Source organism: Homo sapiens, chromosome 1 (genome assembly GCF_000001405.40).
Source record: "Homo sapiens chromosome 1, GRCh38.p14 Primary Assembly".
Lineage (NCBI taxonomy): Eukaryota > Metazoa > Chordata > Mammalia > Primates > Hominidae > Homo > Homo sapiens.
The window spans coordinates 229,646,601-229,671,735 of record NC_000001.11 but is presented as its reverse complement, the minus strand read 5'-3'; the positions used below and the strand labels follow the sequence as shown (position 1 = coordinate 229,671,735).

The following is a 25,135-nucleotide window of genomic DNA, read 5'->3' as shown; positions in this document are numbered from 1 at the left end:
GAGTGATGGTGGAGAGGGGAACATTCCAATTAAGGTTTAAATATTGTTGGTTTTATCTCATAATCTCTTAATCTAAAATAACCCTTTCACCTTTTCCTTTCTTTCATGACACTGACGTTTTGAAGAGTTTCAAACATGCCCCACATTCTGGTTTTATCTGATTGTTTCCTTGTGATATCATTTGCCTTGTTCCTCCACCCCCTGACTTTCTCAAAGTTAGGTCTACAGCAGTGCTGTGCAGTAGAAATCTGTAAACCAGCCCGGCGCAGTGGCTCACACCTGTAATCCCAGCACTTAGGGAGGCTGAGGTGGGTGGATTGCTTAAGCCCAGGAGTTCAAGACCAGCCTAAGCAATACGGCAAAACCACATCTCTACAAAGCAAAAAAAAAAAAAAAAATTAGCCAGCTGTGGTGGCATGCGCCTGTAGTCCCAGATACTCAGGAGGCTGAGATGGGAGGATCCCTTGATCCAGGATCACATCAATGCACTTCAGCCCAGGTGACAGAGCAAGACCTTGTGTCAAAAAAAAAAAAAAAAAAAATCTGTGAACCACATACATAATTTTAAATTACCCAGTAGCCACGTTTTAAAAAATGTAAAATAGGTAAAGCTAATTTTAATAATTATTAACTCACAAAATGCTGATTTCAACACAATGTTTTCAAATTATCAGTGAGAGGCTGGGTGCGGTGGCTCACACCTGTAATCCTAGCACTTTGGGAGGCCGAGGCAGGTGGATCACCCGAGGTCAGGAGTTCGAAACCAGCCTGGCCAACATGGTGAAACCCCGTCTCTACTAAAAATACAAAAATTAGCTGGGCATGGTGGTGTGGTCCTGTAATCCCAGCTACTTGGGAGGCTGAGGCAGGAGAATCACTTGAATCCAGGGGGGTGGAGGTTGAAGTGAGTCAAGATGGCACCACTTCATTCCAGCCTGGGCGAAAGAGTGAAAGTCCATCTCAAAATAAATAAATAAATAATCAATGAGAGATTTCACATTATTTCTTCATCCTGAGTCTTTACAACATAGATAATACATGCCTACAGCACATCTCAATTTGGACTAGCTACATTTCAACACTGAATGGCCACACATGGCTAGCGGCTACCATATTGAACAGTGCAGGTCTACAGGCTTGATTAGATGACAGGTAAAATTTTTGGCAGTGATACATCTTAGATGGTAGTATGCACTTCATGTTACACTGCCGCAGACCACTACTTATTATTGTTAACATGGACCGATATTTCTATAATAAAGATACTTTCCTCCCTAATCATACTCAGCAAGTAATCCTTGGGGTAATTCTTTGGCACCATGCAAATATTTTTGGAACAAGTGAAAAAATATTGACTATAGACTGGACAATAGAGGGTTTTATGGAATTTGATTTTTCTTAGGTAAGAGATGGGCATTATGGGATACAAGAGAATGTACTTTTTACTGGGAGCAGGATGAAGTTTTTAGGAGTGAAATATAATGTTGGCAACTTCTTTTCACACTGCATTAGCAAAACATATAGTGTGTGTGTGTGTGTGTGTGTGTGTGTGTGTGTAGAGAGAGAAATTAAGCAAATATGTCAAATAGTAACAATTTTTTAATATAAGTAGAGTATATGGATGTTTATTGCACTATTTTTTCAACCTCTATAATTTTGAAATTTTCACAATAAAAAGTTGGGGACAAAATTTTTAAAATAATAATAACAGCACTTATTCTCTACCTGGGACTGTACTAAAGGATTTTTGTGCATTTCAAATTTAATCCTTGAAACAACAATACAAGGTAGTTATAATTATTACCATAGTTTTTCCTGACAATGAAACTAAGGTACAGGGAAGTTAGGTGGTTTTCACAAAGTTACACGGATAATTCTATCAATGACAGGTGAGATTCAAATTGAGTATATCTAACTTGGAATCCGTGTTCTGAATAACAAAAGTATATTGACTCCTGAGCATTCAAAGGAAATATTTCAAGTTCAGAAAAGTCATTTTTCTAGGTCTTGATAACCTCAATCTTTATTCTAAAGACCAAGCAGCGTGCGAGGTGAACCCAGAGAGATGAAAACCCTAATTCAAGACCCCAGATGACAAGGCCACATACCATAATGGTAGTCCAGGGCATCTGCCTACTTGCAGGACCAGATTCACTGTGTTCTTACATCAAGAAACCTTTGCACTGGCTTGGTCTGTTTCCAGGAACTGGAACCAATGGTTTTCTCCAGACACCCACAGGCAACGAGCCAACACTAATAATTTCAAATATAACTGGCTCTTAAGCCAGGTTTTATTTCAACTCACTTCTCTCATTGGCTATAGAATGACGAGGATGATGACAGCCACTATTTATTGAACCCTTATTGTTTATGTGCCACACACTAAGTTCTCTTCATATAGCACCTAGCTTAATTATTTCAACAACTCTGGGAGGCATGTTCTAGAAGAAAAATGAAACACAGACACTGAAAATAGTATGTAGGGCTGAGATAAGACAATTCCAGAATAGTTACTTCTCACCACTGCATGGCAGAGTGAGAGGTGCCATCCCCAGAGAGCTCGTGTATACTGGAACTAAGCAGAATGGCCATGAGCTCCTGGGTAGCAGCCACTTCATCATATTCCCCACTGGGAACCAGATGAAGGGATGGCATCAGGGGGGACATTCTTACCCACTGGACACCTTCTGGGCTGGCATCTGATGAAGCCCTTTAAAGTCCACTATCTTGTTCAAGGTGCAGGACCACACCGGAGCCAATCATTATTACCTCCATTTCACAGAGAAGAAAATGACACTCAGGAAACTTAAGTGATTTATCCAGAGTCTCACAGTTATGAAGTGGTTTCTGCTATGTAAAAAACTTAATAAATGTTGGCTAAATGAAAGCACGAATGAATGTATAAACATACATATAATTTCATAAATTTAGAAACACATGTTTTGTAAGCCATACATATTTATTCACCAAAGAAAAACTATGGCCCGAACGCCCAAGGATCCCCTGTCAATAGAGGTAGCCCTGACGCTGAGGCCTGCAGGGAATACCTGGCAGAAAGGAGGGAGGGAGCTGAGGAGGCCAACAGGAAGAAAGAAAAAGGACCTAGGGCCAAATCCACAGATCTGAGCAGGCACAAGAAATCCAAGGCAACACCAACTCACCACAAGAAATCAGAATCTAGACTAGAGCACAGGGCAGGTGAAAAAAGGAGGACTTTTGAGCAGTGATTCTGTTCATGAGGAGGGTCTGGGATATAGTTCAAGATGCCTGGTCTGGGCCACAGGGCCTGATGGCTCAGGCAGAAACTAGAATGTGAAGGGAGCTAAGGAAAAGGAGGCTGGACGGGGTGATATAGTTTGGCTGTGTCCCCACTCAAATCTCATCTTGAATTGTAGTTCCCATAATTTCCACGTGTTGTGGGTGGGACCCAGTGGGAGACAACTGAATCATGGAGGTGGTTTTCCCCATACTGTTCTTGTGGTAGTGAATAAGTCTCACGAGATCTGATGATTTTATAAAGGGAACATACTTTTGCTTGGTGTTCATTTTCTCTCGTCTGCCACCATGTAAGATGTGACTTTTGCCTTCTGCCATGATTGTGAGGCCTCCCCAGCCACATGGATCTGTGAGTCCATTAAACCTCTTTTTCTTTATAAATTACCCAGTCTCAGGTACATCTTTATCAGCAGCATGAAAATGGACTAATACACGGGGCAACCTACCCCTGACTGGTCACTTTGGAAAACCAGGTGAAGAGAGCTCCCCCTGAGCTAATTTGGAAAAGGCACCTGCTCTGGGTGGACAAAGGTACAAGACTCTGTAAAGAGAGCTCAGGTCAGATTCTGGTCCCAACTTGTTCCCTCAGCCAGGAATCTTTGGGCAGTGCACAAACCATACAACTGTATGAAGCAGACTTGAAGTTAAGCAGGTAGTTGGAGAATCTGCATCAGATACCTCTTTGCCCCACTGCAGAGCCTCTGGACCTCACCTGTCTCTCATTCCAGCTGTGTGGATTTTGACCTCCTACAGACACAACCTGACTGCACCAAACCTCCGGCCCCAGTTCTTCTATTGACAGAGGCCTCCTCCCCACTCCCCCACCAGATGCCCAGACAATGCAGGTGCAGCTCACAGGGCAGGGGTAGAACATGCCCTCCTATTAGCTCTTTCTATGCTTGGTGCCCCACGTCCCTCGCTCCTGCTGAGATTGAACTCCATAATAAAGTAATAGCACCTGTGTCCTCCATCTCTTACTTTGCTTTCTGGAAGCCTGCACTAAGGTAGAATCAATGGAAGCCATGGGCCCACCCAGAAAAGTGCACATACAAGCAGAAACTGGTACGGGTTCTCAGCGGGTTTGTGGCTCCCCTGAAGGCCAGTTTAAAAACCTCAGCCTTGAGGAGAAAGGTAGAAGTTACAGTTCCTGAGCAGAAGCATGTTAGCTTTTTCTTACTCCTGGACACACCCCAGCTCTCTGATTCTGAGGGTACTCAAGAATTGAGCATGGAGAAGGGAGCTCAACACAGCAGAGTGCAGCCTTCACTCACTTACCAGAAGCCCAAGCCTAGCCAGAGTGAGGCAGCCGTCAGATTACTGAAGAACTAGATGAAGATTTAAAACGGATTCCGAGATGAGAGAGGGTATTTCACCCCCACCACTCTCTGGGTTTTGAGCAGCCATCTCCTAATCTCTGCTTATATAGTCTTTTCACAAAAAGTCCTTTGCATCTTAGCAAGAAGCAACAAAATTGCTCTATAAGATAAACAAAAGGTTAATTACAAAACCCTGCGTACTCCAGAAGCCCACAGGCAAGAACAGCTATTTATTTCCCCAGCTCACAGCTCTGTCTGCCCTGCTGCAGGTGTCTGTCCAATGCATGCAGCCATCTGAATCACTGCACCTGCTCCCACCACACAGCAAAAGAAAATACCACCTGGGATTTGGACAGTTTCCCATAAAGCATTCCAAAGTGAGTATTCCAAAGACAGAAACATTTGCCCTTTTGGAGACCTTGAAAGGAACCTTGGCAGTTCTCCCCATTGTCTTCTAAGGAGGGAAGAAGAATCCCTCAGACTGATGCCCCATCTGTGATGAATATGCGTTCAAGAAGCTGGAGGAAACCACTAGCAATTGCTGCATGCACGCGTAAGGCACCAGCCGTGGACGTTCATGCTATCATTCTGACAACCTGTCCATCAAAAGTGGCATCCAAATGCCACCCAGAGAATCCCAGAAGTGGACATTTAAGTCTCCCCAGTGCCCTTGCTCCATGCAGATGTGCTGTGGATGAACAGCTGCTTTTCACCAGCCCAGCTCCTCTGAAACTTCCCATTGCAAAGGGAGCCACCAGACCCTGCACTTCCAGCACCACAAGCCAGCGCCAGCAGCAGTACATGTCACAGGAGCCTCATCAGAAAGTCGAATCTGGCAGAGCTGTCTTCTGCCTGTATCTCCAATCCCAATGACAATCAGAACTAGGTGTGTGGCAAACAGGTGCTGAAAACCTCAGCCCCCAGAGTATAAAGCAGCCCTCCTGACATTTGCTGGATTAGGGATGAATGCATCTGGAAATTGAGACAATCAGGAAGCTAATGTCACATTTCCAGATTTTCTGAAAACCTAAGCTGTGGGTGTTTAGTGAAACAATGACGCATTGTAATAGGAAGCATCAGCAACACTTTGCTGTGGTAAACTGCAGCCTCTGTACAGTCAGGCCACGCAGCCACACATAGTGCATGGAAAATTTAATTCAAATATTTATTCTACAAAGACGCATTCATTGACATTTATGGAGACAGGCGGGTGGAGCGCAGTTTTCAAATTGTTCTACTCTGCTGGAAGACCAGTATTCCCAGGGCATTCTTCATCCAACAAGTATTAATTGAGCACCTACTATGTGCCAGGTGCCCATTTCGGGTCCATACTCAAGCTGTGAGTAGCACAAACAGGATCCCTGCATATGCGGAGTTTAACTTCTACTGGGAAAAAAGACACCAGACAACATGCATAAGCAAAACACCTAGTAAATTGGAGAGCAACACATACTGAGGAAAAAGTAATGAAGCAGGGAAAAAGGGGACAGGATGGTCAAGGCAGGTGGGTGGGATTTTAGATGGAGTTTCCAAAAGTCATCATAAGGCCAGGCGTGGTGGCTCATGCCTGTAATCCCAGCACTTTGGGAGTCCAAGGATGGTGGATCACCTGAGGTCAGGAGTTCAAGACCAGCCTGGCCACCATGGTGAAACCCCGTCTCTACCAAAAAAATATAAAAATTAGCCAAGCATGGTGGCACGCACCTATAGTTCCAGCTACTCAGGAGGCTGAGGTGGGAGAATCGCTTGAACCTGGGAGGCAGAGGCTGCAGTGAGCCAAGATCATGCCACTGTAACCCATCCTGGGCAACAGAGCAAGACCCTGTCTCAAAAAAAAAAAAAAAAAGAAATTTGTTTTTTGAAAGGAGACTCTTTGGAGGTTTGAAGGAAGATGGAGGGACAACCACTAGGACTATTTAGAAACAATCTCTAGGATGAGTGACCACAGGCAGTAAGAGAAAAGAGGGAAGATGCTAGTGAGAGCTGGGACTGAAGGAGAGTGAGGAATTGGTTATGTCTTCCAGATTTTCAACTCAATTCAATGAGCAGAAATTGGCAAGTTTGAAAAGGACTTGCCCAGAGGCAATGGTGACATCAGGGAGTGGAAGGTCAGGAAAGTTAGAAGGTCTAGAGAGAATTGTCAAGGATTAATCCTTGAGGACACCAGTATTTTAGGGGAAGGGAGAGAAAAAGGTAACCAAGAGCATCAGAGATAGTCGAGGCCCTAGAGGATGCAGAGAGCCAGCGGGGGGTCCGACCAGCCAAGGGTGTCCAGCGATGGTCAAGGACCTACCACACATTCGTGAAGCCAGGTGTCTTTCAGAGGGCAGTTTTGATGGGAAGGATGACCAAGGAGCAAAGGTAGACTCCTTATAATTGTTGGGTAGTCAAGAGAAAAGGCTGATGGAAATGTGAGAGGATAACAGGATCGAGACTGAAGATAAATTAAGAGTATTCTGTGTGTGTCTATAAACAGCAGGGAAAGTGATAGCAGAGACTCGAGAGACAGAGGGCTATGGTTAGATGGGAAGAGATTGTGTGCCTGATTTAATCTGTTATAAAGCTCAAAGAGGGCTTAGAGAAAATACCAGTGCAGGCTGCATGCCAAGTCAGAGAATACCAGACACTGAATGGCACCGGCACCCACATCTGTCCCCACAAGAACAGCCATTCTGAGTCTTTGAAATGGCCATAGTTGGGAAACAGTTGGCCATGCCCTCTAGCATGACATTAAGGTACAGGAAGACGCAGGGCCGTGCACTGATTTGTGTTTCTGTGGGTGCTTCTTTATCACCACCTTGGCAGCCGGCCAGGCGTTACTGCTGGGATTTCCCGTGGCCTCATTTTTCTGAGTGTGTTTCTCGCCCCAGGCCCCAGCACACTTTCACCTCCGTTGAGCCTGGTCTACTGAGTCACATCCCCTCAATCCTCCTTTGTAATGAAAAACCACTCCCACTACTACTAGTTGTGTTCTTTCTGGAGCATTTCACAAACCTCTTCCTTCCTCTCATCCAAATATTTATGTTCTACGATCAACCAGAACTTCACATTAAAACCATTGTAACAATCCAGTCTCCACAAGCTCCTAACATCCCAAAGCTATGCTGCCTCATGGATGTTTCTCCCTCTGATGAAAAAAGAGATCTTCCTCCCAATAGGTGACCCCAGCAGAAGAGAGAGAACAGGATTTTGTAGAGAATCAATCCCCATGACTCCATTCCTTTCTCCCTCAACAGAGCTGGCTCTGGAGTTAAGGGTAGGGCAGGACAATCAGGGAACTCCAAAGACGAGGAAGGAGGTGACAGACCTAGGGATGCCAGTGAGGCACAGTGGTCATGGTGGCAACGGGGAACAAGCTGGGTAGAGGGACAACAGGGCAGGCCAAAGAAAGGACATTACAAACAGGCTCATTGGGCCAGGCACGGTGGCTTACACCTGTAATCCCAGCACTTTGGAGGCCAAGGCAAGAGGATCACCTGAGCCCAGGAGTTCAATTCCAGCCAGGGCAAGAGCGAAATCCCATCTCTACTTAAAAAAGATTAGCGAGGCGTGGTGGCATGCACCTGTAGTCCTAGCTACTTGGGAGGCTGACATGGGAGGAGCACTTCAGCCCAGGAGTTGGAGGCTGCAGTGAGCTAGGATCACACCACTGTACTCCAGCCTCTTAAAAAAAAGGAGCAAGGGAAGCCAAGAAGAGTCCAACAAGGAGGCTCAAGTGTGAGTTCTCACATCAGCGATGGCAGATGGGCAGGGGTGGCAGTCCTGGGAATGTGGGGTCAGGACATTTCAGAAGGGTCCCCAGTGTGGACATGAGGCTACAAAAAATATCAGCAGGAAACAAGAGGGAAGACTGGGAAAGAAGAGAGGTCACCAGCAAGCAGGAGTGATTGAGAGAGGTGGCCCAGACACACCAGGGAGGGAGGGCAGAGAAGTCAGTGAGTGGGGATGGCAGAATGGTGTTGGAAGGACGTGGGGACAAGAAAGCACAGGGCAACAGAAGTAACATCCATTAGAGAGACACGAGAGACATACAGGCTGAGGGGGAAAGGGTGAATATCACCTCTCCCTCCAGCCACTGAACTTGTCTGCTGGAAGAGATGGAAAAGGTAAACGACAAAGTAAAATTTAAAAAAAAAGGAGAGTGTTCAGAAGTTGCACAAGGGAATGAGGAATCAAAAACGACACTGCTGCTGCCTCTACAGCGGCTTTTATGAGACATAAAGCAGAAACGTATGAGCTTATTAGACAAAAGAATTCAGGCTATAGCCTGGCATGCCGGCAATAAATCAAAGTTACCTCTATGAGTTATGAGAAACCAGGGCCAGGTGCGGGGGCTAACACCTGTAATCCCAGCACTTTGGGAGGCCAAGGAAGGGAGGACTGCTTGAGGCCAGGAGTCCCAGACCAGCCTGGGCAACATAGTGAGACTATCTCTACTAAAAACTTAAAAATTAGCTGGTTGTGGTGGTGTGCACCTGTAGTCCCAACTACTTGGGAAGCTGAGACAAGAGGATCGCTTGAGCCCAGGAGTTGGAGGGTGCAGTGAGCTAGGATTGCACCACTGCACTCCAGCCTAGGCAATAGAGCGAGACCCTGTCTCCAAAGAAAAATGAAAAAGAGAAACCGAAAAAAAAAAAAACTCCCCCAAATCCCTTCAAGTAGACACCCCCTCTTTGCTGTCTTTTTTTCTGGAGACTTCACATCACTCCTTAACATTGGGCAGTTTCCACAGCTACTGTAGGAGGCTGAGTCCGGGAAGCTGCAGAAGACAGGCTGTGAAGGAGACCCACCCACTGTGGTCCACAAGCAGGGCAAGGTCGAGAACGGGGCTGTGTGTTGTCTGTGCCATTGGGGGCCCCCTGATGTACTACTGTCCAGGACCGCCCAAGGCAACATCCCAGGCAAAGTCACCCCGCTGAGCCTTCTCTCACCCAACTCCCCTTACGCCCACCCCTCCCTTCAGGTGTCCGCCCTCAGCCAAAACCAGGCTGCCACATGGATTCAGTGCAGGCATTAAGGATCAGCACCCCAGGCCCTTCCAGGGGCGCCTCTCACCACCCAGGCAGGTCTCAGTTCAAATATCACCTCTTTCTCCAGCCACTGAACTTGTCTGCTTTGCTGCCAACCCCGCGATCACCCCCTGGCCTATTTGTTTCCTGGCTCATTGTCAATGTCCTCTACTAGAAAGCTCCCTGAGGACCAGGGCCATGTCTCCGTGCCTGGTACAGACAGGTGATTCATGCACATCTGTCAGGTGATGGGGGTCTGGAGCCACAGCAAGTCCAGTGGGGACAGTCTCTCTGAAGCCCAGCATTTTGCCGTTCCCCAAGCTGAGTCCCCAACTCTGCCATGTGGAGAGCTGGCTGGGCCAACTCTCTTTGCTTGTGAGGTCTATTCTAACAGGATAAAAATGAACAACAGAGCCTCCATATTTGCCAGCCAGAAACATGTTTCTTCTACCCTATGAATCAGCAAAATGGAGTTAAAACAAATTCTTTGCTGAGGAGCGTTTAGAGTTCAAATAGAAATGACTGTGAGGAACCTGTGACTGCTTCCCCAGAAATGGGAACACAGCAGAGAGCCCTTCAGAGCTGTGCAGGGAGGAGGTGGAGTCCCAGCCTTCTCTTCGTCCTTCCCTTCCTTCAAGGCTGACTACCTGGCAGCCGCTGCCAACTCCCTTCGAAAGGCCCTGCAGTGCCACCACCAGGACGCCTGATGAACTGCTCCACGTTCGTCAGCTCACCCAGCATTCCCAAGGCAGGGGGAAAGGATGGTCCCCTCACCTCTGGCCTTCAGAACTTTCAGCACAGGAAAAACTAGCCATGGCTCCATGAAGGCCTTGGAGACAGTTAGCTTCCGGTCTGGGCACTTGAACCAGAGGCAAACCTAAGACCGTGTTTTAGCTCCCGCTTGTTTACAGCTCGTGTCCTTGAAAGGTCGCCCGCTCACACCAACACCCATCTCCAATTGTGAACAAGAAATGGCGCCACCAGACTCTCTTCGAGGCTCCTGCAGGGAGTTTACTACAGAAACAAAATTCTGTCAACACAAAGCATTAAGCGAAAGGATGCCAGACCAGCCGAAGACATTTCTGGTGGCCAGAGCTTCGAAAGGCCCTCTGCACACACAGTCTAGATGAGGAAGGGAAGGGAACAGATGACATGTGCAGTGCGTAAGGCAGGACTGTCCCCCAGCCCCCACAAGATAGCACAGGAAATAAAATCAAATGTGGGGCGTAAAACAAGGGCCATTTCTCTTAGGTATCAAAGACATTCATTTTATATTGTCTGCTCCAATCACATCTGCTTGAAAATACAGTGTTAAAAAAAAAAAGCCTTTGCTTAAGGATGATCCTTCAAATAACTTCAAAAGTCTGCATTTTGAACTAATTAAAAAGGGAATTCCAACATGATTCCCCCAAAGACAGTGAATAAGAAAAATGGTAAATATCCCAATTGAGAAATGTGCTATTACAGAAGAAAGATAATTATATAAACATAATTTACATAAGAAATAAAAATGGTAAATGTGAAAAATGTATAATCTCTTAGTAATTAAAGAAATTCAAAACAGAATAACATCTCTCTCCTATCAAGGAAGCATAAAGAAACAAAAATCAATAATATTAAAGTTGACTCACTAGTAGGAAAATAAATTAGTAATATTCTAGGGGGCAATTTGGCAATATTTATATAAATCCTTTAAAAATGATGTGGTTTTCTGACAAATAATACAACTCATGAGAATTCATCTTCTGAAAATAATTCAGCTGCAAGCACCATCTATAAAAGGGAATTTGGACAGATACCTATGTCTAACCATGGTGTACTTATTAAATAAAACAACAATATCTACTCAATGGACTACTATGCAGCCAAAAAAAATATATGTCGAATGTTTTCACTGACCCAGAGTTACTTAAAATATTACACAGGAAAAAAGGTAACTTTAAAAAAATGCATTTATGATCCAATTTAGCTACTATATATATTTATATGCACATCTATATACATACACATAGTAAAGGGACTACAACAAGATACTCCAAGGTGACAACCGAGGTTATCTGGGTAACTGAGACTATGAATGAGTTTTTTAAATTATCCTTTTATTTTTCTTTTCTGAGGTTGCTATAATAAAAATATATTGCTTAGGTAATAAGAAAAAACAATTAGGATTATTTCTTAAACTGCATAGGAAAAAAAAATTCCTAAATGAACTTCACAGAGCTAACACAGGAGGAGCAGGCAGGAGCCCTGGCACCTGTGCTAAACGTCACCGACCTGCCTGAGGTGCCCACTATCGCCACCCAGAGCAGACACCTCAGGCCACAGACTCTAACTTTCCCTGACTTCTTCAGAAAGCATACTTAGAGGGAAGGCAGAAAATGTGACATTTCAAGAATACTTCCCATGTTACTTGAAGAATTTGAAAGGCAAGTATATTTAAACAGGGCTGAATTATACGCCCATGTACCCAAAGTAAAAAGCCAAGTTTTATGTAGTTTCCAGTGCAGACGAGGGAACACCAAACCACTGAGCCAAGACGAGAACCAAACACAGAAAGGTCCCAAGAGTCAGCAATTTTTCTATTGAATTAATCTCATCCCAGGGTCAATTTTCAGGATTCTATTGCAATACTTACTGCATAAAACTATGTATTAAAAAATAGTAAGAAAAACACGATGTAAAATACATCAAAATATACTACATAAACCCCAAAGGATTTTCTATGTATACCAATACTACGAATTAGAACATCTTAAGTCTTTCATTCTCCAGCTCTTTCAGACCATGCAGCCAAAGCCTCTGGACAGTGTCACTGGCGGCACTTCTGTCCCATAGCCTTAGGCCGTATATCTTTTCTCTCCTTCATGTTTGGCCTTGTGGTACTTGAGATAGTCATTATAGAGCTCCTTAAAGATGTCTCTCATTCCCGGCTGCAGCGAGGCCCGCAGGAACTGGACGTCAGGCTCGATGCAGAGGTCCAGGATGAGGTAAATGCCCTCCTGCAGCAGACTTTTCACAGCTGGATATAAGGTCACCTGAGGAAAAAGGCAAACCTCTGTGAGAACAATTGGGGGCAGAGATCAAGCCGCACCACCTGCCAACAATGCCTTGGGAAGCACTAACAAGTAATTTCAAACTGACCTCCAAATTGAGAAAAAAATCGACATTCACTTTTAAAATATAATTTTATTACTAAGTCAAACCTTTAAATACTCATATTTTTAAAGTTTGTATTTTGGGGAAATAGAAGCTAACTCAAGCAAACACAAACCTGGAATAAAACTCCATGAAAGCAAAAGGCTGGCTTTGCTGTTCAGTAAATGATGCTTACATGTTTACCAGGGGCATTTTAAAAAACTGGAGTCTTTAAATTTAAAAACCTTATAAGAAGATAAGCTGCCTGCCCATTGTGTCAAATTCTTCTACACCGTCAATCACCTTGGAAGCTATGCCAACCCTGTGGGACAATGACAACTACGTTCACCATAACACTATGACCCCCATCTCACCCCAGAGCAAGGCAGCAGGCAGGCTCTGAAACTACCAAAACAGACCACTGATAAGCCTACACTAGTAATTAGATCACATCATATCACCCAAGAGCAGAAGTGATTTCATGATTGCCATTTAATAGATTCCTTTTTTATTTATGTCAAGAACAGCACAATATGCACTTAATTCCTAACAGCCCTGGAATGGTTGAACTGGTCCTCATCCCTAAAGATGCACTTCTCCCCTGAAGTTCAGGGTTACCTAAAATCTGGAGCACAGGAGTGTGGGTGGCAGCCAGCTCCAACCTGGCTGTATCTGATGCTCCACCCAAACTTCCAGAGAAGAGACTCAGACTAATATCAAACCAACCTAAAAGGCTGGGGGAACAGGTTCTCTTCACACTTACCACATCCATTCAGGTTTCAACTAAATGTGGGCTGAACAGAGTTTGAAACCCTAGTAACTGAAACTAAAAAGCAGTAGTAATGAACAGTTCTGGGAACAGATGGTGGTGATGGCTGCACAATATAAGAATGTATATACTACTACTGAAGTGCACACATAAAACAGTTAAGCTGGTAAAATTCACCTTATACTAGATGTATTTTGCCATTACTTTTAAGAAGTAGAAAAAAACCAAAGCAGTGGTAGAGCATCAGCAGACAGGCCTGGAATTTGGCTGATCATTTATTGCTACCCTGATAACCTGAAAGGGTTAATGTGTCTCTGCAAACACAGTTTCTAATGAGGACATATTTTATTAACCAGAAGAACTGATTCACGAAGGCAACCACTGGGAAGTACATTCCTAAAGAGGCAATTTGTTTCTGTCTCTCAGACGATGCTACTCTTCAAAGTTATGATCCTTTTCATGTAATAGTTCAGAAATTTCTGACAAGTGATCATCTTAAATTTTACCATTTTATAGATGATAGCAACACTCAAGGACCGAAGGTAGAATGGCGTGTCTGTGAATTTTACAGCAAGGTAATTGGGAGGGAAAGAAAAAAACAAAACAAAACGAAAAACAGACAAAAACACAAAGTCCTTGATCATACTGGCAGGGTGAGGGCTTTGTAAGTGGACTACTTATTCATACTTGTTCATTCATTTAATTATCACTTACTAAATAAATAATTCCACTTCCAAAGGCAAAAAATGAGGTTCAGTGACCTCCCCAAAGTCACACAGCTAATAACTGGCAGCGCTAAGACTTGAACCTAGGCAGTCTGAGCCCAGAGCCCATGCTCTGAACTACTTACACAGTTTCTCAGTAGTGAAAATGCAGCTAGACAGCCTCTTGCAAAGAGCTCTGGGGGTAGTAAGAAGGCCAGTAGGTTTTAGACAACACAACCACTTTAAATCTTTAGGTTTCAGATAACTTATTTATAAAACAAGAAAAGAGTCAATTTCTACAACACTAAGATCACTGGCCAACAAATGAAAACATCACTAAGTAGCTTTTAAAACCTTAGATAAGATGAGCAGCACAAACTACTTATTCTAAGCTATCACCATACAGATGGTTCCTGACTTAAGACGGTTCAACTTAACACTTTTCAACTTGACATTTTTTGAATTAACAACAGATTTATCCAGATATAACTGCATCATTAAGTCAAGGAGCATCTGGACTTAACAATGGTTCAACTTACGATTTTTTCACTTTTACGATGGGTTTATCAAGTACTGAATGCATTTCAACTAATGATATTTTGAATATACTATGGCTTTATTGGGACACAGCCCCCTCCTAAGTCCAGGAGCATCTGTAGAGGGACATTGTAAATTTGCTCTACAGGTAAAAAAGGAGATGAAAGTAACCATAATTTCCCTGCATGTTTCCATGGGGACTCATTACTGCTTGGAGGAAAGAAGACAAGCGGGCCTCTGGAGCTGCCCCTTCTCCTGACTGACACATCTCACCAGGTCGTCTTCCCTGACTACTGACAGGTCCCACCAGCAATACTCAACTCTGCAGAAGTACAAGGAAAATGCAAAGGAGATCTATTTAGCATTAGATCTGGTATTTAATTAAACTTAAACACGCTGGTCTAGAAAGATTTATGGCTCTCTCAGTAGAAGCTGCTAATGCATATGGAATATTTTCTTCATTGCTGAATTTAAAAACAAAATGAAAGATAGAACATGGACTGTGGTGCCAGTGGATTCTGGGAGGCTATGGCCCTAGCTAATTCCCAAAGCCTTTGGCTTTCAAGATTAAAAATAAAATATAACTAATGAGCATAAATTAGACATGAATAATGAGGCCAGGAAGCCAGAGGCTTTTCATAAAGTAAATTTCAGAATAATAATTAGTGACTGAAGGGTTCAAATTACTGCTTCTCTTCTTGGCTCTTAGTGAAGTGATATTACTATGTCTCATTTTATTATTCAGTAAGACAGAAAATAACGCCAGCTTTTCTTTCATCAAAAGCTTACATGTTAACGACTGGTGTGCTTGGGAAATACTAAGATTCCATAAAAAGGCCAAATAACTGCAATGAAACCAAACTACAAGCCCACATCTTGGTCAAAGGACAACGTGAAGGGGTGTTCTCAAGATCCACAACACTTACCAGGTGTGGGCTCCACACCCGGTAAGGTGTGTGCACTCACATGGCCAGGCTGCCCCCATGTCCCCACCCACAGGACAGGCATCGCCACCTGCCGAGGTGAGCAAGGCCAGCGGGGTAGAAATTATTTAGTAGTTCTAGATGTATCTAAAACAGGAGCAGGGATGAAAAGTGATGCAGCTCCAGGTTTTCTAAGGAAGCCCATTCAACCCAGCCTCCCTGGACAAATGCTGACACCTCTACCCTAACAAGCTTACTTGTGATTTTACTATTGTTCTTACAAGATTTACAAAGGGGAAATGGGTATTTTACAGAGAGATTGAACACAATATAAATGTATATCTATACATACAGAAGAAGACAGTCAAAAGAATACACCGCACTTTGCTCAAGCCTATGACAGTCAATTTAAACCAAGATTTATACAGCATAGATTTACAAAGTTCTGTAGTGAACTTACTATGGGTCACACAGGATCCTGTGGAATTTTGAAAATAGCATAATGACATTCCAAAGTAAGATAACTGTTGAATGGCTGGGCGCGGTGGCTCACACCTGTAATCCTGGCACTTTGGGAGGCCAAGGCGGGTGGATTACCTGAGGTCAGGAGTTTGAGACCAGCCTGGCCAACATGGCAAGACCCTGTCTCTACTAAAAATACAAAAATTAACTGGGCGTGGTGGTGGGCACCTATAATCCTAGCTACTCAGGGGGCTGAGGCAGAAGAATCACTTGAACCCACGGGGCAGAGGTTGCAGTGAGCTGAGATCACACCACTTCACTCCAGCCTGGGAGAAAGAGCAAAACTCCATCTCAAAAAGAAAAAAGATAACTGTTGAATAGTGAATTATCCAGAACACTGAATCAAAAAGTCAGATTAATTTGGACAAACATGTTTTTTCTTAATCTGTCTATTTTAACAACTACCTGTATCTCCACCTTGTCATCGACTTTGAGTGTCTGAGAGCAGCTGAGTCACATGAGTGACACACCGCCAGAGTAAAGATACATGAACTCTTGCAGCTGAGGGGATCCCAGAATCCTGAGGTCTAGAACTCCTCTTTCTAGTCTCCATTAAGCCTGGTCCTATGAGAGCTCCTGTTCTTGGACCTGAGTAACATTTCCTCTCCTTTTATATAACTCAAGAAACTAACCAAATAGACCCCGAAGTTTGTGCTAGAGCAAGACAGATAATCGAGCATTTTCTGTGTACAAGGCACCACTGAGCCCTCTGTATGTCATTTCATTTGGTCCTTACAATAACCCTGTAGGAATGCTGCTAAACACCTTGAACTAGACAGGACTCCAGAGAATGGGAAGGCTGAAGAGAAAGGAAGGCCTGAGGCCAGGAGTTTGAGACCAGCCTGCACAACATAGGGAGACCCCATCTCTACAAAAATTTAAAAATTAGCTGAGTGGAGTAGTACATGCCTGTAGTCCTAGCTACTTGGGAGGCTGAGGCGGGAGGAACATTTGAGCCCAGGAGTTCGAGGCTGTAGTGTGCTATCATCGCACTAATGCACTCCAGCCTGAGTGAGAGAGCAAAACCCTGTCTAAAACTTGCACACAGCAACAGAGAACTGTCAGATCCAGAACACCGCTTGCCATTTTGGTTGAGAAACCCTGCTTAAGGACCATAAACACAGTACTTGGTGAAAGACATTGAACCCAATTTTACCTTCTGTACCTCCAACACGTACTGGGCCACCATAAATGGGGAAAACACAGCAAACTCCTCAGCTCGTGCGGCGATGTGGCTGTACATTCTTTCAACCAGGCGTGCACACTTTAGGACCGTAGGCAGGTCATCTATGCTTCCTACAGACAACAAAGTGTTTCCCAACCAATTAGTTCAAAAACAGCACATTTTAACTCTTCTATGTTAGACTTTTAATATGGGTGAAAATTATCTCAAGTGTTACATGTTTTCCCAGACTCTTTAATTGGCTTATTTTGCAGACAGAATAAGGGAGAACAGATATGTCCAAACAGTTATCTACACAACAAAGGGAAGGACACTTTAAAAAACTCAAGAGTGCTCGGGTGTTTTTAAGAGTCTAACCAGAAAAGTAATCAAGATTTTTAGGATGAAATCTAGGATTACTTAAAAAAAAAAAAAAAAAAAAAAAACACCAAGATGGAGTTCTATAATAAAGGCAAATGGAAAACAAATTGAAAATTATCTTAAGTGGAGAAAATCATCTACCGACATCATATGATTTAAAAAATGAGATACCCTAAATTATGTCTTTGCCTCCTTACATTTCAGAAATTGTTTGTGTATGTGCCTTTTATAGGTGGACAGACATAGGACTCAATTATCATTAGCAGACATTCTACTGTCTTCTTAGATTTACTTCTGATTCCTAGTTCTTTTCCTACCATATGGTGTCAGGACCGTCCAGGGCCTCTTAACAAACTCCTCCCAAGAATCCTAATTGCATGAGTGTCCCCACAGCTTGAGTTACAGCTCATGGGGAAGTTCTAGCACACACCAGAGCACCTTCCCTGCTGTCATTCAGCACAATGGTAGGCACATTTTTATAAAACTCCAGAAAACACAAACAAATCCATAAGGACAAAAAGCAGATGGGTGACTGGGGCTGGGACCAGAGTGGAGAAAAAACTGCAAAGAAACAAGAGGAATCTTTTAAGGATGATGGAAAATATTCTATATTTTGATTGTGGGGACGGCTTCATATATACATAAAACCCATTAAATTTTATACTTTAAACAGAAGCAATTTGTTATGCATACATTGTATATAACTCAATAAATTTGATTTTTAGAAGGCATATCTTTTTTGAAGACCGTGAATAAGCATACAGACATCTTTTATAGATGTAATTTTTCTAGATCAATGTAATTGTATGAAATGATGTCAACTGTTAACATTCATGTAGCATTTCAACAGACAATATACTTTAGTGATATGCTTTAATATCTAACATTGACTGTTTCTTCTCTTTTCAGACTGTTCACCATATACATGCTATTTACAACATGAATACATAGCACTTGTTATTTCGGCCACCAATTTAATGCATGCTCATTAGAAAGAGCATATTAGATACCAATAAAAGAGATAATAAAATAGTTAAAACTCTACTCAGTTAAGCCATGAATGTGTCTGAGAACCAGGTCTTAGCAGATAAGATGACGAAGCTACCTTCACATGAACACAGCACAGAGTCCCAGAAGTGTGATGTGCTCCTGTGCTTCCTCAAATACATGACAAAGGACATGCCTGTGGCAGTGTGACCAGGCTGTGCTCCACCACTGCTGAGCAAGGCCCCGGCCTTCCGTCCAGGCAGACATGACTACAAGAACAGAGATTCCTCCTTGCTGAGCTCAGACATGATGGGAGAGGCTTTGACACAGAACTGTAGGCAGCCACCACCAACTTGCTGAGGCTGGCATGGGAGGGGAAACTTGTTTACTAAGGCTGCTCCTAAATCGATTCACAATATGAAGCTGACGTGCTCTGCACCAGATACAGGAAGAAGCGAAATATCTAACTGTGCCACTGATTGATCCCAAAACCGGGCAGAGGAATTGAAGCCTAGTCTTAACAATGCCCTTTTCCTTTTCTCAAAAGATGTCTGGTTAAAAGCCTATTGCTTAGGTCTACAAAACTGAACCACAATGGTGGGAGAGAAGCTGAGCACCACTCCTGTATTTCCAGTCGGCCCACAACTACGGTCACAGGCTCTTCTCTGACACCCCGAGTTGAGTTATGGTCCCAGAGCCTCTGAGCTGACACCCTGACCTACTGCTTAGCACATCAGACAGTACAGGGCTGGTACATGCTATGCAATTTCAAAATACTGCAAAATAAAATCGAAATTCATGCAATTTTTTTTTTTGTTTTTTATTTTTTTTTGGAGACAGAGTCTTGCTCTATCGCCCAGGCTGGAGTGCAATGGCGCGATCTCAGCTCATTGCAACCTCCGCCTCCCGGGCTCAAGCAGTTCTCCTGCCTCAGCCTCCCAAGTAGCTCGGATTACAGGAGTCCACCATCACGCCCAGCTAATTTTTGTATTTTTAGTAGAGACAGGGTTTCACCATGTTGGCCAGGCTGGGCTTCAACTCCTGACCTCAGGTAATCCACCCACCTCAGCCTCTCAAATTGCTGGGATTACAGCCATGAGCCACTGCGCCCGGCCAGCAATTTTTAAAATAATAAAAGTCTCCCTCAAATTAGAAATTCAACAAGAATCAACTTCAAAGCTGAAAAATGAATTGTACACATAATATATGCTATTGCCATATGGCAGTTAGTGTTTCCCTAGTAAACAAACACACCCTTGCCAAGGTGAGGCTGGAACAGTGAGCGGCAGGACCTTATCCCTTTTATAAAATGAGATTGCTCTATACCTGCCTGTTCCTTTTCATCTCCCTATTGAACTATAAGCTCCTTAAGGGCAGGAATGGGGTTGTAAGTCATTTTTATATCCCCTTTACATGATATACATGCTCAGTAAACATTTCCTAAATCTGATATTTTTTTTCCCAGAAAAGGAACTATTTCAATAAGGAGATGCCTGATTCATCCACTGTTTTGGATAAGATAAAATGTGACCATTTGAAATTTTAAAAAATATATATTTTGAGTATTCATTTGATATCATTTCTCTTATTTAAACACAAGTGAGTAGTTTTATTTTCAGTAACATATGTGGCCAGCAGCCACACCTCATGATGAATATATTTGAAACTGTGTCTGATGTTACTCCAAATTACCTTTGTCCTTCTGCCGCCCTTCCCGCATAACTGAAAACACCAATCTATTGAAAGAGTTCAAGAAAGAAGGGATGGCTTTCAGCATTACCTGTAATGACAGATAACAGAATGTAAAAGTACATACGTGATTATTTAAGTTTTTCTACTTTAAAGGAGCTCATACTTATTTCTTTCTTAGCCTAGTCTATCGGGACACTCAAACCAGTTGTGTGTGCCCAGGGATAGCCACATCCTTTCGCCTGGACATGCTGCTGTCACTGCTCACCCATCTTGTATTAGACTCTTTGACCCTTGTTTTAACTATCTAGGGTAGAGAACCCACACTGCGTAACTTCAGGAGGTCTATGGGGCAATCCTGGTTTGGAATTTGCTGAGTCTGTACCTTTTACTCTAAGCTGGTGCTAATCCATTCTGGAAATGGGTAGAAACAAACAATAATAGGAACAGTACTAATTAATATATTCAAGTATCATTGGTACAAAAAAAAAAAGATTATGTTGAAGCAAATGCACTTAAAATAGGGACCAAAACCTCTCAATTAATAGTGGTGAAAAGGTCTGCTTGAAAACTTCATCTCGAAAAATGAGATTTCAGCCGGGCGCAGCAGCTCCCACCTATAATCCCAGCACTTTGGGAGGCCGAGGCAGGCGGATCATCTGAGGTCAGGAGTTGGAGACCAGCCTGGCCAACAGGGTGAAACCCTGTTTCTACTAAAAATACAAAAATTAGCCAAGCATGGCGCCGGATGCCTGTAATTCCAGCTACTGGGGAGGCCAAGGCACAAAAACTGCTTGAACCCAGGAGACAGAGGTTACAGTGAGCCAAGATCGCACCACTGCACTCCAGCCTGAGTGACAGAGCGAGACTCCATCTCAAAAAAAAAAGAAAATGAGATTTTGATGACAAAACATGCCTCTTTTATAGTCAATCATCTTTAGGTCTGAATCACAACCACACACTGTCCAGCAGAGCACCACCAGCCACATGTGACTACTTACATTTAAATTAATTAGAATTAAATAAAATTAAATATTCAGTTCCTAGTCATACTGGCCACATTTCAAGTGGTCAAGACAGCTGTGGCCAGTGGTGACCATACTGGACGATGGAGACACAGCACACACCCACCACTGCTGACCACTGCTGGACAGTGCTGCATCACGTGTGAGAGTGAACAGAGAGTAAGTCAAGTGTCGGGATTATTCTCTTTGGCATAATCTGTCCAACAAAATTTTTGATAGCATAATACCACATTCGTCATGTCAAATTACTGACTTTTTGCAGCATATTCAGAAAGAAGTCGTTTTTGCAAAAGTATTCCAGCGTTTCACCCAGTTCCCCAAGGACCCTCTCTTAATCCTTTGCTATCATACTGATGAAAAGCACACAAATCCTTTTGGAACTATCTGGGTTCACACTCTGGCTCCTTATGATCTTGAACAAATCATCTAGCTTTTCTTTGTATGTGTGCACCTCAGTTTCCTCATCTGCAAAATGAGGATGATAGGTTGTCATGAGGATTGAACAAGCTAAGCCATGTAAAGTGCTTGGAACAGCACTAGCTGCTGATCATTCTGCTGGGTATGCTGGCTGTGCTGACTTCTTACCATACCCTTTAGATGCACCTAAGAGGATTCTGGCTGCGTGTTTACATCAGTGTGGGCCTACCATGCACACTGTTGATGCTGTGATCATCCATCAGATTCCCTACACAACCCCAACAGATGAGAGTGAGCTATGATTAATTCACATCATTCTTTACTGTAATACCATGTCATTATCCTTGTCAATTTTCTCCATTCGTTAAATGATCTAATTCCACTAAATGGTCATTTGCTAATGGTTTTGCAGAAGAATCAAGCTGCTTTCTAGTATTACTTTCATCAACTTCATGAAATCCTGCACCTGTAATTTCAGTTTGTAATTTATGTGCATTGCATTTATATTGTACAGTTACATACAAATCTAACATCAGCAGAGAGATTTTAAAACAAAGATGCTGACAAGATAAATAGGGTCAAAGGCAATTGTTAACAGGGGAAGGCTTTAGAGTTAGAACCAATGTCATGAGTGTTTAGCTTACCAGAGAATATTTTTCTTAAAAACTGCATTGCTGGCAGGTCTCTATCCTTAGGACATCAAAACACTTAAAAGTATCTGAATGTGCATGAATATATGACACACAGCCATGCACTACAAAACAATACTCTGGTCAAAGGCATACTGTATAAACAACAGTGGTCCTATAAGATTATAAGATTGTATTTTTAATGGAACTTTTCTCTGTTTAAATGCACAAATACTTACCATTGTGTTACAACTGTCTACAGGATTCATTAGTCACATGTTGTACAGGTTTGTAGGTTTCTAGCCCAGAAGCAACAGGCTATACCCCATAGCCTAGGTGTGCAGTACTCTGTACCATCTGGGTTTGTGAAAGTATTATACGATCTATGGTGTTTGCACAACAAAAATGCCTAACGACACATTTCTCAGAACAAGTCTCTGTCATTAAGCGATGCATTAACCGTCGTATCTATGAGTTCCTACATACATAGTCAGCCACACATACAGTGGTGGCACCATGAAAAGAACACTGGTCAAAGATAACAAGTCTTGAGTCTAAGGTTTAGACTCAGCTAAGTGACACTGGTCAAATTATTTGGCGGCACTGAGCCTCAGTTTACTCATCAATAAAATGGGATTACTGCCTCCTTCACAGGCTTGCTATAGGGGTGGAACACATCAAATGTTCAATAAATGTTAACTGAACTGTAATTTTTTCTGTGGGACATTTATCCCTAGTTTCAGTTTAACTTAAAAAGGAGCATACTATAAAACTGGAACTCAGGATGCTTCATTCCCTATATCCATTTGAATTATAAGCCCAGCAAGGGATCTATGCGAGTGGCTTATTTAAAGACGTGGTGAGCAAAAACAGAGTAATTTTTAATGAGCTTCCTTAAATAGTATAGATTGTGTATGCCTTATCCTAAAGCTTTGGGACCAGAAGTGTTTCAGATTTCAGATTTCGGAATATTTGCATATATACAATGAGATATCTTGGAGATGGGACCCATCTAAATATAATTTAAAAGTTCATTTATGTTTCACTTTATATAGTTTATACACATAGCTGAAGGTAACTTTATGCAATAATTTTAAATAATTTTTTGCATGAAACAAAGTTTTGACTGTGTTTTGACTGCGACCAGTCACATGAGGTCAGGAGTGGGATTTTCCACTGGTAGCATGATGTCAGCACTCTAAAAGTTTCGAGCTTTGGAGCATTTTGGATTAGAAGTGTTCAACCTGTAGTATACAAACACTATTCATAGCACCAGATCCAATGAAGAAAAACTCGCTCACAAACCCAGTATGAAGGTCGAGCATTTTTATGCTTGAGAAACCACCTGGCTCTGAAATTTACTAGAACAGAAAGTTTGCCTAGCAAATCGTTATTTGTATTATTATCCTGCAACAGTAAAGTTTTGCTGCCACTTTTCTACAGACTTCAAGTACCCTGCTCGCAGAGGAAAAGCTGCCTGCCACTCTCACCCTCCTTCTCACCTTAGGGTGACACTGCAGGATTGAGAAGAGCACGTTGTGCAGCCTCGGGAAGACGCTTCCATACTCCAGCGGCTTCAGATGGTCCAAAGGGACAGTGAGAAGGATGCTGAAGGCCAGGCTGACGTGGTGGGGGTTGCCGATGGCCTCCTCCCCCTGCCGCAGCAGTGCAGCCAGGACATCTAAGACAGGCCCGACCACTGTGAGGGACACAGGCTGCTCCTGAGAAGCTTCTCGGTTTAAGAGCTAAAGGGCAAAATAAAATAAAGGAAAAATGAAAGTAATTCCCCAAGGAAATAACACAAACACTGCAGCTCTGAGTGACTGAGGTAGAAATGTCTGTGCTCCAAAATGAATTGATGTGGTCCGTGGGCCGTTAAATACTATTTGCTAAACTTCTTACAGATCAGCTCTAGTGAAAGATATTCAATTCATGATCTAGAATATAAAGAGAACAGACCCAAGAGGAAGGACAGCTCAAAGTCTTACCTAAGTAACCTGGGACAGCTCACCTGTGACCCTCCTTCTCAGATACACAGCAGCCCTGGTGAGGCCTTTTGGGTCCTGTCTCTCACAATGCTCACTGTTCTGCTGGGTATTCTGGCTGTGCGGACCCCTGCTACACCCTCTGGGTGGACGTAAGTGGATTCTAGCCCAGTGTTCTTATCAGTGAGGGCCTACCACACGCATCATCAACACTGTCCCTGCCCGTCAGCATGGGTCACGTGCCTCTCCTGATGCTCACCACACATGCTCGGTGACGATGACCCCTGCCATCCACCAACACGGATGCTCAGGAAAATGACAAAGCAGCCAAATTGGAAACAAGAGAGAATATTAAGTCTGTTTTTTAGACCCTTTTGCCCCAGGAACATGCTAACCCAGGGCAATTGTCTCAGGTAGCAACAGCTAGAATTAGGGCAGAGTATGATGGTAAAATAGATACTGCTCCTTCGCACCTAAGTGTAAGAACACCCAGGTCAGGGTTTTTAGAGGGCAGGAGGCAGTCCCAATCTGAACCAGACTGTTCTAGTGAAACAAACAGCCTAGCAACAACTGGACACAAATTTTAACATTTGAGTAAGACTGTAACAAAATAAACTCCTATCTGCAACATTACTATCCCATCCTGTAAAGCATTTTATTCTCACTGTA

General features: G+C 43.1%; 1 protein-coding gene across 3 annotated transcripts in view; it reads right to left on the bottom strand.

Annotated features, from left to right (window-relative positions):
- The window catches only part of URB2 (URB2 ribosome biogenesis homolog), a 33,954-nt gene continuing 20,354 nt past the window's right edge, over positions 11,536-25,135 (bottom strand). For all 3 annotated transcript variants that reach the window (NM_001314021.2, NM_014777.4, XM_005273360.3), the window contains 4 exons: positions 23,984-24,226; positions 20,414-20,501; positions 17,348-17,487; positions 11,536-12,636 (listed from right to left, as the gene is read on the bottom strand). In NM_001314021.2, the coding sequence (NP_001300950.1) occupies positions 12,439-12,636; positions 17,348-17,487; positions 20,414-20,501; positions 23,984-24,226 (669 nt within the window). In that variant the 3' untranslated portion in view covers positions 11,536-12,438. The remainder of the gene's footprint in view (positions 12,637-17,347; positions 17,488-20,413; positions 20,502-23,983; positions 24,227-25,135) is intronic.